General features: G+C 33.3%; 1 long non-coding RNA gene across 2 annotated transcripts in view; it reads left to right on the top strand.

Moving 5' to 3' along the window:
• The window catches only part of LOC105369657 (uncharacterized), a 41,122-nt gene extending 31,735 nt beyond the window's left edge, over positions 1 to 9,387 (top strand). The window contains exons 4-6 of one of the 2 annotated variants that reach the window (XR_931355.4): positions 4,764 to 4,961; positions 5,137 to 5,241; positions 5,404 to 9,387. This is a non-coding gene — a long non-coding RNA (uncharacterized LOC105369657). Of the gene's footprint in view, positions 1 to 4,763; positions 5,242 to 5,403 lie in introns of both variants that reach the window. The other variant, XR_001749003.3, reaches the window with a different exon arrangement.
• The last annotated feature ends 8,633 nt before the right edge of the window (positions 9,388 to 18,020 follow it).

Here is an 18,020-nt window from a genome sequence, read left to right as displayed (position 1 = left end):
TAATTTTCATTTCTTCAAATTATGTTGGAGTGATGACCATTAATAGATGCTATATTGGAGATTTATTACAATAGCTTTATTGAGGTATAGTTTATATACAAAAAAACTGTGCATTTTTAACGTATACAATTTGATGAGTTTGGACATATGCATACATTCGTAATACCATCACCCAATGAAGATAGTAGGCATGTTTATCATCTACAAAGTTTTTCTTGAGTACCTTTATTTTGGGAGCAGAGGGCAAGTAAGACACTTGACATGAGATCTACCCTCCTAGCAGATTTTAAAGTGATCAACGTATTGTTGCTAACTATACGTACTATGTGGTACAGTATATCTCTAGAACTTATTCGTCTTTCGTAACTGAAACTTAACCAATTGAAAGTGAGTCCCTGGTAACCACCATTCTCTGTTCCTATGAATTTGACTACTTTAGATAACTCATATAGTATAATCATAAAGCATTTGTTCTTCTGTGACTGGCTTATTTTATTTAGCTTAATGTCCTCAAGGGTCATTCATGTTGTCATGAATGGCAGAATATTCTTTCTTTAAGGCTGAAGAATATTCCATCATATGTACATACTACATTTTCTTTATCTGTTCATCTGTCAGTGTACATTTAGGTTGTTTAAATATTATTTATTCTTGATAATCCTACCATTGATGTGGGAGTGCAGATATCTCTTCAAGATACTAATTTTAATTCTTTTGGATATACTGTATACCCAGAAGTGATATTATTGGGTTATATGGGTAGTTTTACTCTTAATTTTTGAGGAAGCTCTATACACCTTTTTCATAGTGCATTCTTATCAACAATGTGCTAGGGTTCCAATTTCTTCACATTCTTACCAACATATATATATATATATATATATATATATATATATATATATATATATCTTCATATATATGTATATGGATATATTCGTTTTAAGGAAGAGGGTAATAAATGAAAGTGAGAGGATGGCTCATCTCCTTCTTCTGGGTATATATGAATGAATATATGGATATGTGAATGTATCCATATATATATATATATATATATATATGTAAAATAGTCATCCTAACAGGTGTTAGGTAGCATCTTAGAATATTTCCCTAATGATTAGTGATGTTGAGCATTTTTTTATATACCCACTGGCCACATGCATGTCTTTTGTGGAGAAATGTCTATTCAAGTCCTTCATCCATTTTTTAAAATTGGGCTATTTTTTGTTTTTGGTATTAAGTTGTAGAGGTTCCTTATATATTCTGGACATTAATACCTTAACAGATATGTTATTTGCAATGTTTTCTCAAATCTATAGGTTGCCTTTCACTCTGCTGTTTCCTTTGCTGTGCAGAACATTTTTAGTTTGATGTAGTCCCACTTTATATAATTTTGCTTTGGTTACTTATGCTTTTATGAAAATTTAATGTAATCAAATACATCTATAGATTCAAGGCAATTCTGTTCAAAATCACAATTGCACTTTTTTTTACAAAAATAGAAAAATATTCATTAAACTCATGTAGAACCACAAAAGACACTGAATAGCCAAAGCAATCTCCAGGAAGAAGAACAAGGTTAAACAAGGTTAAAGGCATCATACACCCTGAATTCAAAACTATTACAAAGCTACAGTAGTACTGGCATAATAACAGACATACAGATCAAGGGATCTTTGAGAAATGCAAATCAAAACCACAATGAGATACTGTCTCTCACCAGTCACTATGGTGATTCAAATTTGGCATTTTGATTAAAATGTGAAAGAATAAGAGATGCTGGTGAGGTTGCCAAGAAAAGGGACACTGATACACTGTTGGTGGAAATGTAAATTAGTTAAGACACTGTGGAAACCAGTTTGGAGATTTCTCAACGAACTTAAAAACACAACTACCATTCAGCCCAGTTATCCCATTACTGGGTATATACCCAAAGGAAAATAAATCATTCTACTAAAATACACTGGAATTTGTATGTTTATCACAGCATTATTCACAATAGTAAAGATATGGAATCAACCTAGGTGCCCATCAAAAGTGGATTGGATAAAGAAAATGTGGTACACATACACTCATGGAATACTATGAAGCCATAATAAAGAATAAAATGATGTCCTTCACAGCAACATGGATGCAGCTGGAGGCCATTATCCTAATCAAATTAACACAGGAACAGAACACCAAATACTTACATGTTCTCACTTATGAGTGGGAGCTGGACATTGAGTACACATGGACATAAAGATGAGAACAATAGACACTTGCAACTCCAAAAGGGGGGATGAAAGGAGGAGTGTAGGGGTTGAAACCCACCTATTGGGTACTATGCTCACTATGTGGTGATGGGGTCAAATGAAAACTAAACCTTGGCATCACGCAATATATTTATGTAAAAAATCTGCACATGTACCTCTTGATTCTAAAATAAAAATAAAAGATTGAGATAAAAAGAGATAAAGTGTATTTAGTACAGTCTATTAGGACATTCCTAGATTTAAATTGTTTCTATATAATATTTCTTATATGTAAACTGTTCCTCTATGTTTTCTTCTAGGAGTTTAAAAGTTTTAGTTCTTACATTTAAATCTTCAGTTGATTTTGATTTGATTTTGTGCCTGGTGTATGATGAATCCAACATCTACATATGGATATTCAGTTTTCCCAACATGATTTGCCAAAGAGACTGTCATTTCATGGCATCCTTATATTAATATAAAAATTAGTTTACCATGTGGGTTTATTTTGGTGTTTTCTATTCTGTTCCATTGGTCTATATGTCTGGTTTTCTTTTAATCAGTACCATGCTGTTTTGGTTATTGTAACCATGTACTATAGTTTTAAGCTAGGTAATGTGAAGCCTCCAGCTTTTTTGTTTGTTTGTTTGACATTTGGGCTCTTTTTTGGTTCCACATGAATTTTATAATAGTTTTTTTTCAGTTCTGTGAAGAAAGACATTGGTAATTTGATAGGAATTGCACTGAGTCTGTAGATTGTTCTGAATAGTATGGACATTTTAACAGTATTTAATTTTTCCAATCCTTGAGCATAGAATATTTTTACTTTTGTTTGTGTCATCTATTGTTTCTTTTGGCAATGTTTTATAGTTCTTCTTGAAGAGAGCTTTCCTGTCTGGTTAGATGAATCTCAAGTTATTTTATTATTTCTGTGGTTATTGTAAGTGAGATTGCATTCTCGATTTTTTTGTCAGCTTGAACATTATTGGTGCATAGAAATGCCACTGATTTTTGTATCTCAAAACTTTACCGAAGTCATTTACTGGATCTAGGAGTCTTTTGAAAGAATCTTTAGAATTTTCTAGTGTGGAATCATACTCTCAACCACACGAATTTACAACCAAAATCTACCAGATGTATAAAAATGTACTGGTTCACTAGGCTGTAGAAATACAAAATATTGATAATATTATGTCTTTTTTCTTGTGGTTTATTCATGAAAACTAGGCCAAGAATAAGAAAAATCAAGGCGGGGATAGTTATTCCCTTTATAATTTCAGAAACAAGTAGACAGCAGAGAATTCTGCTGAAACCTAGGTACCCACTGAAATAAAACTATACAGAAAGAGCTAATGGTAGTTGCTTAAATTTAAATTCTCCTACAATAGCCTTAAAATATATATATATATTACATGCAAAAATAAAAATGAAAGCAGACAAATGTATGTCTTTAGCATGACTAGGGGTCAGAAAATACTAAAACTTCAAATTATTGTAAATTAAAAAAAAAAAAACTTACAGTGTTATTCCTAGATCCCATCTCTATCCTCTCATGGTGCCCTAGGGGTTTCAGATAAACTGGCAACTACCTCAGAAAGAGCAAGACCACACTAATTGTGAAAATTTAAAAAGGAATTCCAAAAGGATCAGATTGGTGGGCAGAAGGAAAGTGTGTTTTGGACTTGAAGAGTTAGTCTTGGAAAACGAAACTTCTGAGAAGAGGGTAAAACATAAGAAAGGAAAAAGCACATTTAAAATCTGCTCAGTAAATGAGGGAAAAAAGCAAGTGCGTGTATGTGTTGAAGAGAGGTGTTAGGATAGACAAAATGACATTCAAAAGACAAAACAAAAGAAACTTCTCTCCCCCAAATCATTCATTTAAGAGAATACATTGCAATATTTTGACAGAAGAGGACACTCTTGACATAGGAATCCAATACAGTGCTCCAACTATCATTCCAGTCCACAAAAAGCATTTTTAGTCTATTAATATATGAAGATACTATGGAAAGAACACAGAAAATGAGAATTAAAACATTCAAACTGATTTTTTAAATGCCCCATGAAGAACAATCATGAAACACAGAAAAATACGATGCAGCACTTCAAACTGATTTAAATATCCTAAAAACAAATAAAAATTGAACTAGTATACCAAAAATTCACAAGTTAAAAACCAAACTGTATAAAGCAGGAAGAAATGCAACAGTTCTTTTATTTTCCCATTTTCACTCACCTATTGTTATCGGGACTTTTTTTCATCTAAATTACAGACTTTATAACTAAAAGCTTCTTCCTAGGAAGATCCTATATTTTAGAAACTTTCAGTATCGATTTTCCTTATATAAATCTTTATCAAATTCACTTATCAAGCTAATTTTTCTCTGGAATCGTACAATGATAAATTATTTCCTGCCTCAGTAAATTTTTACTTCCCGGATTTTAATTATTTCTGTCATATGAAATGATGTATCTGAGTCCTGTAACCACTAAATCCTTTCTAATTTATTTTCTTTATATACATTTTCACAGAAACCCTGGAATCTGGATAACCTGTTGTGTAATTTACGCTAGAATAACCTTTTATAAAGTGTTTTAAGCACTATTTATCTGACAATTATAAGACAAGACTCAGAAAAAAATGGATCAATGAAACAGAAAATGTCCCAAATGAGATGGTCAAAATAATCTATGACTTGGAAAATAAAAGCAGGAACTAAGACTGTGGCCGTGAGTGTTTGAGGAACTAAATTCCTAGTGTTTAAGTCCTGAAAGAATAAAGTTTCAGCTAATATGCGTTCTGTTCCTATTGCTTTGATAATTAATCGTGGCATTTTCATTTTTTTAGATGACTGTAATTCTCTGACTTTGCTTTAAAAAATTAATTCTCTCAATTTAATCACAGCTTATTCGAAAGAGATGACATGTGTATAGATCTGTGGTTTCTGTCACAAGAAAATCACTTCTTAGGAGAATTTTCTATACATAACCAGTTTTAGAAATGCAAAAGGTAATTTTAATTTATTTTTGTTTTATTTTCCTATAATATTGATTATAAAAGATAGGAAAAATTAATATAAAGAAAATGACTGATTTTTAAAAATGTATCTTTGTGCATATCCTAAAAAACCCTGATCTCTACATAAACATATCTATTATTATTTTTCTTCAGAATTTCAGAAGTAACAAAAGAGAAGAAAATTTTACGGAAATCTGGATTTCCATCTCATTAAAATAGACTGAGGAGGGATTTGGAATGTAGACACTTTATCTTATTTCCTTATCTTATTCTATTCATGTTAATATCTGTAACTAAAATAATCTTTCTTTGACTAGCTGGTTTATGCTATTTTTAGAACATAATGCTATATATTCTGTTGGAGTGGTTATTTAGTAGAATATTTTGATATAAAACCATAATCCAAACATGTGACAACTAAAATTGTTTGAAAGGACTTCTTAAAAGTATAAATGGAATAGCTTACAACTGATGCATGCTTTTGTAAAAAAAAAAAAAAAAAAAGTTGTTAAATCAATTAAATACCAAAGAAAAACTGATATTGGAAACATTAGTTAAACCATAATGGAAAAATTTCCAAGTTTTTAGATTTTTGTCTGAGTTTACTCCTTAATACCTACAGAGTTTGGGGTTAGGTTTATTAGTTTGAGGTGTCAGTTTGGTTTCATTTTGGTTTGAAAGAAGAAACAGAAATTAAGAGAGGGATTTTGAAAAAGAAAGAAGTCATGGAAAGTGTGAGGCACAAACTATGCTAACAAAATTCAGTCAACCCTTTTGCTAAGAACATAACTATATCTCTCATCAGTCAGAATGGCAGTTATTAAAATGTCAAAAAATAAAAGATGCTCTTGAGGTTTCAGAGAAAAGTGAACACTTATACACTATTGGTAGAAATGAAAATTAATTCAGGCACTGTGGAAAGCAGTTTAGAGATTTTTCAAAGAACCTGAAGCAGATCTATCATTTGACCAGCAATCCCATTACAGGGTATATAACCAAAGGAAAATCAGTTGTTCCACCAAAAAGACGTATGTATGTTTATGTCCCTCATGGTGCTATTCATAACAACAAAGACAGAATCAATGTAGGTGCCCATTAATGGTGGATTGAATAAAGAAAATGTGGTATGCGTACACCATGGAATACTATGCATACATAAAGATAAATAAAATCATGTTTTTTGTGGCGGTATGTATGCAGCTGGATGCCAAAATCTTAAGTGAATTAATGCAGAAACAGAATCTCAAACACTGCATATTCTCACTTATAAGTGGGAGTTAGACATTTGGTACACAAATATATAAACCTGGAAAAACAGACATTAGCGACTGTTAGGGGATGGGAGAGAGGCTGGCGTGGTACCCAAAACTACCTGTTGGGTACTATGGTTACTACTTGGGTGATGGGATCATCTTTATCCCAAACCTTAGTATTACACATATACCCATGTCACACACTGTCATGTGCCCTCTGAATCCAAAATAAAAGTTGAAAAAAACGAATTAACAAAATCAAACATATTAGATTTTAATTTTTATATATTACATGCCTTTCACAAAGACTTCTATTTTTCTTCATGCTGCTTAAAAGTTATGGCTGTAAGAAAAGTTAAAAAAAAGAAATACCTATATTGTATCTTAAATATCATTTTGTGCTTTTCTACCTGTGGTGCAGAATGAATAGATGCTCTGGGAAATGACATCAATTCTATATCATTTATTTATTCACTGAACTCACATTTATTGGGTTAACATATGTGGCCAGTTGCTGTGATAGCCCCAGGGTTATAAAGGTTAAGTAAGCATGGTCCATTAAGGTACTTACAATACATAGGGGAGCAAGTCACAGAAGTCAGAGTTCCAGCACAAAGCTAGGTGTAAGCCTGGACTGTGATAGGAGTATGTAAGATGGACCTTATCCAAAATGTTAGGCTGCCCAGTGTTTGCACATTTGAAAGTCGTTTTCTGGGATATTTAATATTGAGTCAAATAAAAAAATGAAAAGAATATTTTGTACAAGACAGCACATTCAAAGATATACTATTTTCTGGTCAACATTTTTTTTATGCTCCAGAAAGCTACAACAACAGATATTTCTTGGCTCCCAGGGGCTATGATGAATTTCAAAAGGAGGTGGTGTAACTTCTATGCTCAGAAAGCACTTACAAGTTAACTATGAGCAATAAAGTTGAAGGTATATAAAAACTTAGAATAACAATAGTAAGTAGAAAAATGACTGTGTATGAGTGGTTGAGTGTGTGCAATGGATGTTTCTGCTCACCCCTGTAGAGATACAGCAAACCCCAGTGCTGCCAAGGCTGTGGTGGAACCTCTGTGGCTTCTAGGGGAGGTGTGTAGTTCAGCCCATGACGTCGATATGGTTCAGGGTGCTATTTACTGGCTATTTGGCTGGAACAATCTCCTGAATTTTATGTGAACTGCTTAGTGGAAAGTTTTAAAATCAAGCAATATCTGTAAATATATTTCTTGGCAAGAGAAATAGTATGAAAAGGATAAAGTGGGAAACTTTTCTGGGCAGTGAGGTGAATAAAACACTGGTAGAGAAAATGAGACTGATCTAAAGATATTGACAAATATATTAGAAAAGAGGAAAAGAGAAGATTAAGTTCTCATACTTGCCAGCAAACAAAATTTGATCATTCATACATTATGTGAAGAGAAGTCTGAAAGTTTAGGAATTGTGTTGATACAGCTTGCACTAAAATTCAATCAGCTTTTTATTAGAAATGATATTAACACACGTAAGTTCATAGCTTACTACTGATTACAGTAAGTTCATAGCTTACTATTGATTACATTTACAAGAACAATAATACAAACAGAATTCGTTGATGTAAAATAAATTTGCTAGCAAAAAATTTAAATCTATAATTGTGAGTCAATGACTGGAAATGACTTTACAAATCTATTACAAATATTAAATATTTTGTTACACTGAAGAAATATGTTTCCTAAAAAAGCATTTCATTAAACATATGAGGTCTGATTATGCACACATTGTGGAATTTCATGTGTACAAAATTGTATGTTTCCACACTGGTTTAGGAAATAATATTAAAAAATTTTTTAATTGAAAGAATAATTTGTTTTTCCTTTTTTTCTCCTTGAAAGTTATCTGTTTAAAAAGTAATTTATCTTAATATTTCAGTTATAGAACCAAAGAATTATGCTTTACAGACTTGAAATTTCCTCTGCACAGTGGTGCGATTTCTGGGGAATTGATGTATAAAAAATACTATTTACTAGACATTGTATGAAATAGCATGTTTAATGTTTAGTTGTATGTCTTTGCTTTCCATTTTCGATAAGTAGATTTGTCGAAATTCCTCTAGCCCGAAAGAAGTGAGTGTCTTTGGTGTGTCAGTCACAAAATCAACTATCCACTCATTGAGAAAGAAAAGGAGAAATACTAGGTTAAATTTCGAAAAGCCATGGCTGGTAAGGTGTTTTTAAATATGTGGCTTAAAATTCTAGAAAATCCTGAGCCAGGATTGCAGAAATTGGCATTTTGATTCTGAGGTGTGTACAAACTTGAGAAGTTTGAAGAAAACCTTTGGAATTTTAAAGGAATAGTAATAACTTTAAATCTTTGATTGTGTCAGTGACACAGTCAATTTTGCAAAGATGTAAAAACATAATAAAAGAACGGGTATGTCTTTATAAATTCATAATAAAATTGCAAAGCATCCTATTCTCCCCTAGAAAAAAGGGTAAATTTTTGCTTAGCTTTGAATTATATTGTCAGAACCCAGTAAAGCGAAAAATTTCATTCAGAAAACACCATTCAATTTGAGCTCTGTTGATAATTCAATTAGATTTAGTCTCATTGTTAGGATATTTACTTACTCGATGGTGCTTATTTGAATGGGGAAAATTTTATTTATGGAAATACATTTTATTATAGGACTTAGAATGTATAGACATAATACAAATTATATTAATCTGCATGCTGATATTCCAAAGAGCTTTTGGGGAATTTTCTGTTTGCTATTTTCCTTCAGGAAATATTTCAGGAATCTTAGCCAGGTTTAAATTGCTATATCTGTGAAAATAATGTGAACGTTGATATACATATTTAATTTAATTTATAATGATGTATTTAATAAAGATTCTAACTCAGAAGATTTCTTTTTTTCTGAGACAGACTTAGGAAACAAGTCTGTCTTCTTTAAAAGCAGAGCTTCTGAAGAGAATAGATCCCAGACTAAATTCAATACGATTTTCAAATGTTTACCCAGAGACATAAAGAATTAATTCTGTTTTTGTCAGACTCAGCCTACTAATGTGTTTTATATATGGCAGCGTAGGTCCTAAACCTATCTTTCAAGCAGTTGATATTGTCAAATCTTTTTCCTTTCTAGAAGGTTTAAAAATAAGAAAGCTATTATTCTATTCCTTCTGCTATCAAAATTCAACAGTGAGATGTTACTGTCAGCAACCCAGAATTAAGTATTGAATATTGGATGTTGAGAATTATCCAGAATGGGATACGGTAGACAGTGGACAGTCTTGTCTTTGAAGGGTTATTTTAATATTCCCTTCATATATTTGGGTGCTCTAATATATGTTTATAATTGTTATGTCCTCCTGGTTATCTGATCCTTTATCATTATAACTTAACATTTATTTTATCTGATGTAAATACGGCCACCCCTTTTTCTTTTGGTTCCCATTTGCATGGAATTTCTTTTTCAGTCCTTTCATTTTCAGACTGTGCGTGCCCTTACATCAAAAGTGTTTCTGTTATAGACAGAATACAGTTAGATCTGGCTTTTTACTCATTCAGCCACACTGGGTCTTTTTATTGAATAATTTAATCCACTTATACTTAATTAATTACATGAAAGGATTTACTATTGCCATTTTCTTCAGCGCTTCTTGTATTTCTTGTAGTCATTTTGTTTCCTTTTTCCTCTGTTTCCCTTTTTTTGGGGGGTGCTGGGGACAGGGTCTCACTCTGTCACCCAGGCTGTAGGGCAATTCTGGGTTGAAAATTCTTTTCTTTAAGAATGTTGAATATTGACCCCCCCACTCTCTTCTGGCTTATAGGGTTTCTGCAGAGGGATCCTCGGCCTTTGTGGATGACCTGACCTTTCTCTCTGGCTGCCCTTAACCTTTTTTCCTTCATTTTGACCTTGGAGAATCTGATGATTATGTGTCTTGGGGTGGACCTTCTTGTGGGATATCTTTGTGGCGTTCTCTGCATTTTCTGCATTTGAAGACTGTCCTGTCCTGCTAGGTTGGGGAAGTTCTCCTGGATAATATCCTGAAGTGTGTTCTCCAGCTTGTTTCCATTCTCCCCGTCTCCTTCTGGTACTCCAATCAATCGTAGGTTTAGTCTTTTTACCTAGTCCCATTTTTCTTGGAGGCTTTGTTTTTTTTCATTCTTATTTCTTTAATCTTGTCTGCATGCCTTATTTCAGCAAGGTGGTCTTTAAACTCTGATATCCTTTCTTCTGCTTGGTCAATTTGGGTGTTGATACTTGTGTATGCTTCACGAAGTTTTTGTGCTGTGTTTTTCTGTTCCGTAAGGTCATGCGTGTTCCTCTCTAAACTGGTTATTCTAGTTAGCAGCTCCTCTAACCTTTTATCAAGGTTCTTGGCTTCTTTGCATTTAGTTATAACATGCTCCTTTAGCTCAGCAGAGTTTTTTATTACCCATCTTCTGAAACCTACTTCTGTCAATTCGTCCATTTCATCCTCTATCCGGTTATGTGCCCTTGCTAGAGAAGCACTGCCATCATTTGGAGGAGAAGAGGCACTCTGGCATTTTTGGTTTTCAGCGTTGTTTTGTTGATTTTTTTCTCATCTTCACGAGTTTATCCAGTTTTGATCTTTGAAGCTGCTGACCCTTGGATGGGGTTTTTGTGGGGATTTTTGTTGTTGTTGTTGATTCTATTGTTGTTGCTTTCTGTTTGTTTGCTTTTCTTTCAATGGTCAGCTCCCTCTTCTGTAGGGTTGCTGCATTTTGCTGGGGGTTCACTTCAGGCCTGTTCAACTGGTTCACTCCCTCGCCTGGAGATGTCACTCAAGGTGGCTGGAGAACAGCAAAGATGAGTGCCTGCTCCTTCCTGTGGGATCTCTGACCTCAAGAGACACCAACCTGACACCAGTAGGATCACTCCTGTATAGGGTGTCTGACAACCCCTGCTGGAGGGTCTCACCCAGTTGCGTGGCACAGGGAACAGGACCCATTTAACGAAGCACTCTGACAGTCCCTTAGTGGAGGGATGTGCTTCGCTGAGAGGAAACCCACTCATCTGGACTGCCTCGTTTCCTCAGAACTACCAGGAGGAAAGGTAGGTACAGTATTCCTGGTTAGCATTTTTTCCCAGCACTTTGAATATCTTATCCCACTTAATTCTGGTGTGCTATGTTCCTGCTAATAAATCTGCCGATAATCTTATGGAAACTTTCTTATACATGATTAGTTGCTTTTCCTTTGCTGTTTTCAAGATTCTTTGTCTTTGACTTTTGACAGGGTATAATGAGTCTCAGTGTCAATGTTTATTGTTCATCCTAGCTGGAGTCCTTTGTGTTTCTACAGTTTAATGTCCAATTACGTGGATTTAGGAAGTTTTCTCATATTATTCTTTGAATAAGCTCTCTGGAAAAGTTTGTTTTAAAACATCAAGAGAGGCCGGGCGCGGTGGCTCACGCTTGTAATCCCAGCACTTTGGGAGGCTGAGGCAGGTGGATCACGAGATCAGGAGATGGAGACCATCCTGGTTAACACGGTGAAACCCCGTCTCTACTAAAAATACAAAAAATTAGCTGGGCGTGGTGGCGGGCGCCTGTAGTCCCAGCTACTGGGGAGGCTGAGGCAGGAGAATGGTGTGAACCCGGGAGGCGGAGCTTGCAGTGAGCCGAGATCGCGCCACTGCACTCCAGCCTGGACGACAGAGCGAGACTCCGCCTCAAAACAAACAAACAAACAAACAAACAAAAAATCAAGAGAACTGTGTTCTTTAAAGATTTGGAAGAGTTAACCAGTAAAATCATTTGAACCTACTGTTTCCTTTGTTGCAAAATAATTAACAAAAATTTAACTTTAATTGATGCAGTTCAATGTAGGGCTTCTAATTCCTGTATAGGCATCTTTAGTTGTATTTTTCAAGGAATCGATTTTAATCTAAGTCAATACATTTATTGGCATTTGTTCATAAGTCACTCATTCTCCATTTAATATCTGTAAGATTTTTGCAAATGTTCCCCACACCTTTTCATTCAGATAATGATAATTTTTGTCTTGTCTCTTTTTTTCTGTTAACTCTAGTTATTTCAAACTTACTGATCTATTCAAAGACTGGCTTTCACAGTAATCAATTTTATCTATTAAGTTCTTATTTCATACTTTTCTGCTGTATTATTATTTCTTTCCTTTTGCTCATTTGGGGTTAACTTATTTTTCACTTGGTAGTACGTTAGGGTAAAGCTTAAGTCAATTATTTGAGACCCTTTATTTTTTACTTAATGAAATAATTATCTTTCTACTCACTATTAACACATCTCCCAAATTTTGATAGGTGTTTAATTTTTATTTATTAAAATATTTTGTAATTTTATGTCTCATGGATTTATGTAGAGGCATGCTTTTAATTTTCTAAATATTAGTGGATTTTCTAGTGTCATCTTGCTAACAATTTCTAATTTATTTTTATTGTATGAGAGAACATACTGTGCATAATTTCTATCCTCCAAGACTTATTGAGTCTGGTTTTATGTCCAGTGTATGAACGAACTTGGTGAATGTTTCGTATGCAGTTATGAAGAATCTTCATTCTGCTGCTGTTAGTGGTAGTGTTTGCTCTAAACATGCAAACAAAGTTAAGCTGGTTGATATTGTTAATAAATTATTCTGCAACCTTACTAATTTTCCCTCTTTTTGTTTTATCAATTAAAGGTGGGAGCTTGAAAAGTCAATCTCATAGAAGTAGAGAGGAGAATAATAGTTACCAAAGCCTGGAAAGCGTATATGGAGGGGAGGGGATAAAGAGAGATTGGGTACAAACATGGTTAGATAAAATAAACGACTTCTAATGTTAGCTAGCACAGTAGTGACTACAGTTAAAAACAATGTATTGTATATTTCAAAATAGCTAGAAGAAAGAACTTGCAATGTTTCCAACGCAAGAAATGACAAATGTTTGAGTTATGGATATCGTAAATACCCTAATTTAATCATTACACATTCTATGCATGCCACAAAATATCACATGAACCCCACAAATATGTACAAATATACATCAAAAAATGTTTTTAAAAAGAAAAGAGAGTTAAAATATCCAAATGTAATTTTGTATTTTTTCTAATTTCATTTTATTTTTAATCATTAAGCATTTTGAATCCCACTTAATAGATGCACACACATTTAGTGTTTTTATGTCTTCTGGAATGTTTGATTAATTTATCATTATGTGATACTGCTTTTTATTCATGGTAATATTTCTTCTTCTGAATTACATTTTGTCTGGCGTAAATATAACCACTCCTGGTTTCTTTAGATTAATGTTTACATGGTACATAATTTCCATATTTTAACTGTTAGTATATTATTTATTCATATAAACGTAAATGGTTTTACAAATACAGTATATCATTGAATAATGTTTCTTTATCCAATCTGATATTATATGTCTATTAACTGTAGTCAGACCATTTATATTTAATGTAATTGTTCAAATGGTTGAATTTACATCTATAATCTTTCTCTTTGTTTCTGCTTTGTCCCATAATTACTACCTTCAATTATATTGAGTTTTTAAAATTACTTCATTTTTTTTCAATACTGGCTTATTAGCAATAACCTTTTCTTTTGTTTTTATTGGTTGTTCTATATTAAAAGTTATCCAAACTTCCCTACACAGTCTATCTTTAAATAGTATTATATCACTTATTGTGTAGTATAAAACTTTATAATAGTATGCTGAATGTTCCTTTCTGACTCTTTTTGAGTGAGAAATACTTTTAATATTTTTCCATATATATTTTTTATGTTCCATATTGTCTCTCATGTTCTTTTGTGACACCGATTATATATGTGGTGTATTTTCTTGTATTGTCTAACCACTAATTCTTTACTGTTCGGTCCTTTTACATATTTTTGAAGCTTTCTTCTGTTTTCATTCTGGATAGTTCTTATCCCTGATTTATTCTTTTGCATTGTGTAATCTAATCTAGTATTTATCTTGTTTATGATGTTTTTATTTCCAGTATTGTATTTTTTTTTTTTTTTTGAGTTTCACTCTTGTTGCCCAGGCTGGAGTGCAATGGTGCAATCTCAGCTCACCTCAACCCCTGGCTCCCAGCTTTAAGCGATTCTCATGCCTCAGCCTCCTGAGTAGCTGGGATTACAGGTATGCACCACCACACCCAGCTAATTTTGTATTTTTAGTAGAGACAGGGTTTCTCCATGTTGGTCAGGCTGATCTGGAACTCCTGACCTCAGGTGATCTGCCCGTTTTGGCCTTCCACAGTGCTGGGATTACAGGTGTGAGCCACTGCGCCCATCCATCCAGTATTGCATTTTAATTTCTAGAAGTTCTATATGAAATATAAAAAGTAGAATAGGAATAGATTATATTTGTTTCTTTCAAATGTTAGACCACAAAACAGGACTTTAAAAAATTCAAAAAAATTGAACTCATAGCAAGTATGTTTTCTGACTACAGTGGAATAAACTAGAAATTGACAACAAGAGGAACTTTGGAAACTATACAAATACATAAAAATTAAGCAATATGCTCCGGAATGACCAGTAAGTCAATGAAGAAATTAAGAAGGGAATACAAAATTATTTTGAAACAAATGAAAATGGAAATATACAATAACAAAACTTATGGGATACAACAAAAGTAGTGCTAAGAGGAAAGTTTAGAGTAATAAGCAACTTCATGAAAAATGTAGAAAAACTTCAAATAAACAACCCAACAATGGATCTTGAAGTAGAAAAGTGAAAGCAAACCAAACCCAAAATTAGAAGGAAAGAAATAATAAAAATCAGACTTGCAATAAGTGAAATTGAAATTTTAAAAAATACAAAAGATTAATCAAAAAGTTTGTTTTTCAAAAAGATAAACAAAATTGACAAACTTTTAGCCAGACTACGAAAAAAAGAAAGAAGACCAAAATAAAAAAATCAGAGATGAACAAGGAGACAATACAACTGACACTGCAGAAATTTAAAGAATCATTAGAGACTGCTCTGAGCAGCTATATGCCAATGAATTTGAAAACTTAAAGTTGGATAAACTCATAAACACATATAACCTCCCAAGATTGAACCATAAAGAAATTCAAAACCTGAATAGACCAATAACAAATAATGAAATCAAAGCTGCAATAAAAAGTCTTCCAGCAAAGAATAGCCTGAGACCTGATGGCTTCACTGATAAATTTTACCAAATATTTAAAGAACTAATACCAATCCTACTCACACTATTCTGAAAAAATAGAGGAGGAAGTAATAAGCTTCAACTCATTCTATGAGGCCAATATTACCCTGGTACCAAACGAGACAAAGACACATCAGAAAAAGAAATCTGCAGGCCAATATCCCTCATGAACATAGATACAGAAATCCTCAAGAAAATACTAGCAAACTGAATTCAGCAGTACCTCAAAAAAAACAATTCACCACAATCATGTGGGCTTTATTCTTGGAATGCAAGTTTGACTCAACATATGCAAATCCATACATGTGATTTACCACATAAACAATCAAAAACAAAAAAAATATCATCATCTCAACAGATGCAGAAAAATTTTTTGATGAAATCTAACATGGCTTCTTGATAAAAACTCACAACAAACTAGGCACTGAAGGAACATATCTCAAAATGAGAAGAGCTATCTATGACAAACCACAGGCAATATCATACTGAATAGGCAATAACTAGAAGCATTTCCCTTGAAAACTAGAAAAAGACAAGGATGCCCACTCTCATCACTCCTATTCAACATAGGACTGGAATTCCTAGCCAGAGCAATCAGGGAAGAGAAATAAATAAAACACATCCAAATAAGAAAAGAAGAAGTCAAGCTACCTCTCTTTGCAGATTATGTGATTTGATACCCAGAAATCCCTAAAGACTGCTCCAAAAGAACCCTTGCACTGATAAGTGGCTTTAATCAATTTTCAGGAAACAAAGTAAATATACAAAAATCAGTAGCATTTCTATATACCGATAATATTCAAGCTGAGAGCCAAATCAAGAACATAATCCCATTTATAACAGCCACACACACACACACAACATACCTAGGAATACATCTAACAAAGGTGGTGAAAAATATCTATGAAGAGAAATAGAAAACACTGCTAAAGAAGTCATAGATGACACAAACTAATAAAAAGAAATTCCATGTTCATGGGTAGGAAGAATCAATAATGTTAAAATGGCCATATGGCCCAAAGTAATCTATAGACTTAATACTATTCTTGTCGCTATTTCTATGAGTTCAACTGTTTTTGGAATATACATCCATGTTAGATCATATGATATATGTCTTTATATGGCTGGCATTTTTCACTTAGCTGGATGTCCTCTAGATTCATTTATGTTGTCACAAATGACAGTTTCCTTCTCTTTTAAGGCTGAGTCATATTCCTTTGTTTGTACATACCACATTTTCTTTATCTATGGATCCACTGATAAACGCTTAGTTTGATTACATTTCATGGCTATCTTAAATAATGCTGCAATATACGTGGACAAGGAGATAGATTGTTGATATATTAATATGCTTCCCTTTGGAAATATAACCAGTAGTTGAATTGTTGGATCATATGGTAGCTTTATTTTTTAATTTTGTGAGAAATCTCCACACTGTTGTTCATTACTACTGTACTAATTTACATTTCCACTAAGAATGTGCATGGGTTCCCTTTTTTTCATATCCTAATGAACATGTGACATCTTTTGTTTTTTTTATAACAGCCTTCCTAACAGATGTCAAATGATTAGTTATCCTGTTTGTAATTTGCATTTTCCTGATGATTAGTGATGTTGAGCATGTTTTTATATATCTGTTGGCCATTTGTATATCTTCTTTTAAGAAATACATTTTCAGGTTCTTTGTCCATTTTTAATATATTTTTTATTGAGTTGTTTAGTTCCTTATATATTTTGATTATTAACCTTTTGTCAGACATATGGTTTGAAAATATTTTCCCTAATTTTTTAGATTGCCTCTTTACTCTGTTGTTTTTTTTTTCTTTTTCAGTGCAGTAGCTTTTTACGTTTGATGTAATTTTGTTTGTCTCTTGCTTTTTTTATTATTACACTTTAAGTTCTGGGGATACATGTGCAGAACTTGCAGATTTATTACATAGGTATACATGTGCCCTGCTGATTTGCTGCACCCATCAACCCGTCATCTACATTAGGTATTTCTCCAAATGCTATCCTTCCCCTAGCCCTCCACTCCCCGACAGCTCTCAGTGTGTGATGTTTGCCTCCCTGTGTCCATGTGTTCTCATTGTTGAACTCCCACTTAATGAGTGAGAACATGCAGTGTTTGGTTTTCTGTTCCTGTGTTACTTTGCTGAGAATGATGGTTTCCAGCTTCATCCATGTCCCTACAAAGGACATGAGCTCATCCTTTTTTATGGCTGCATAGTATTCCATGGTGTATGGTGTATATGTGCCACATTTTCTTTATCCAGTCTATCATTGGTGAGCATTTGGGTTGGTTCCAATTCTTTGCTATTGTCAACAGTGCTGCCATAAACATACATGTGCATGTGTC

The sequence above is a fragment of the Homo sapiens genome, chromosome 12, assembly GCF_000001405.40.
Source record: "Homo sapiens chromosome 12, GRCh38.p14 Primary Assembly".
NCBI lineage: Eukaryota > Metazoa > Chordata > Mammalia > Primates > Hominidae > Homo > Homo sapiens.
Note: the sequence above shows the minus strand (reverse complement) of the source record. Positions and strands in the feature narration are given on the sequence as shown.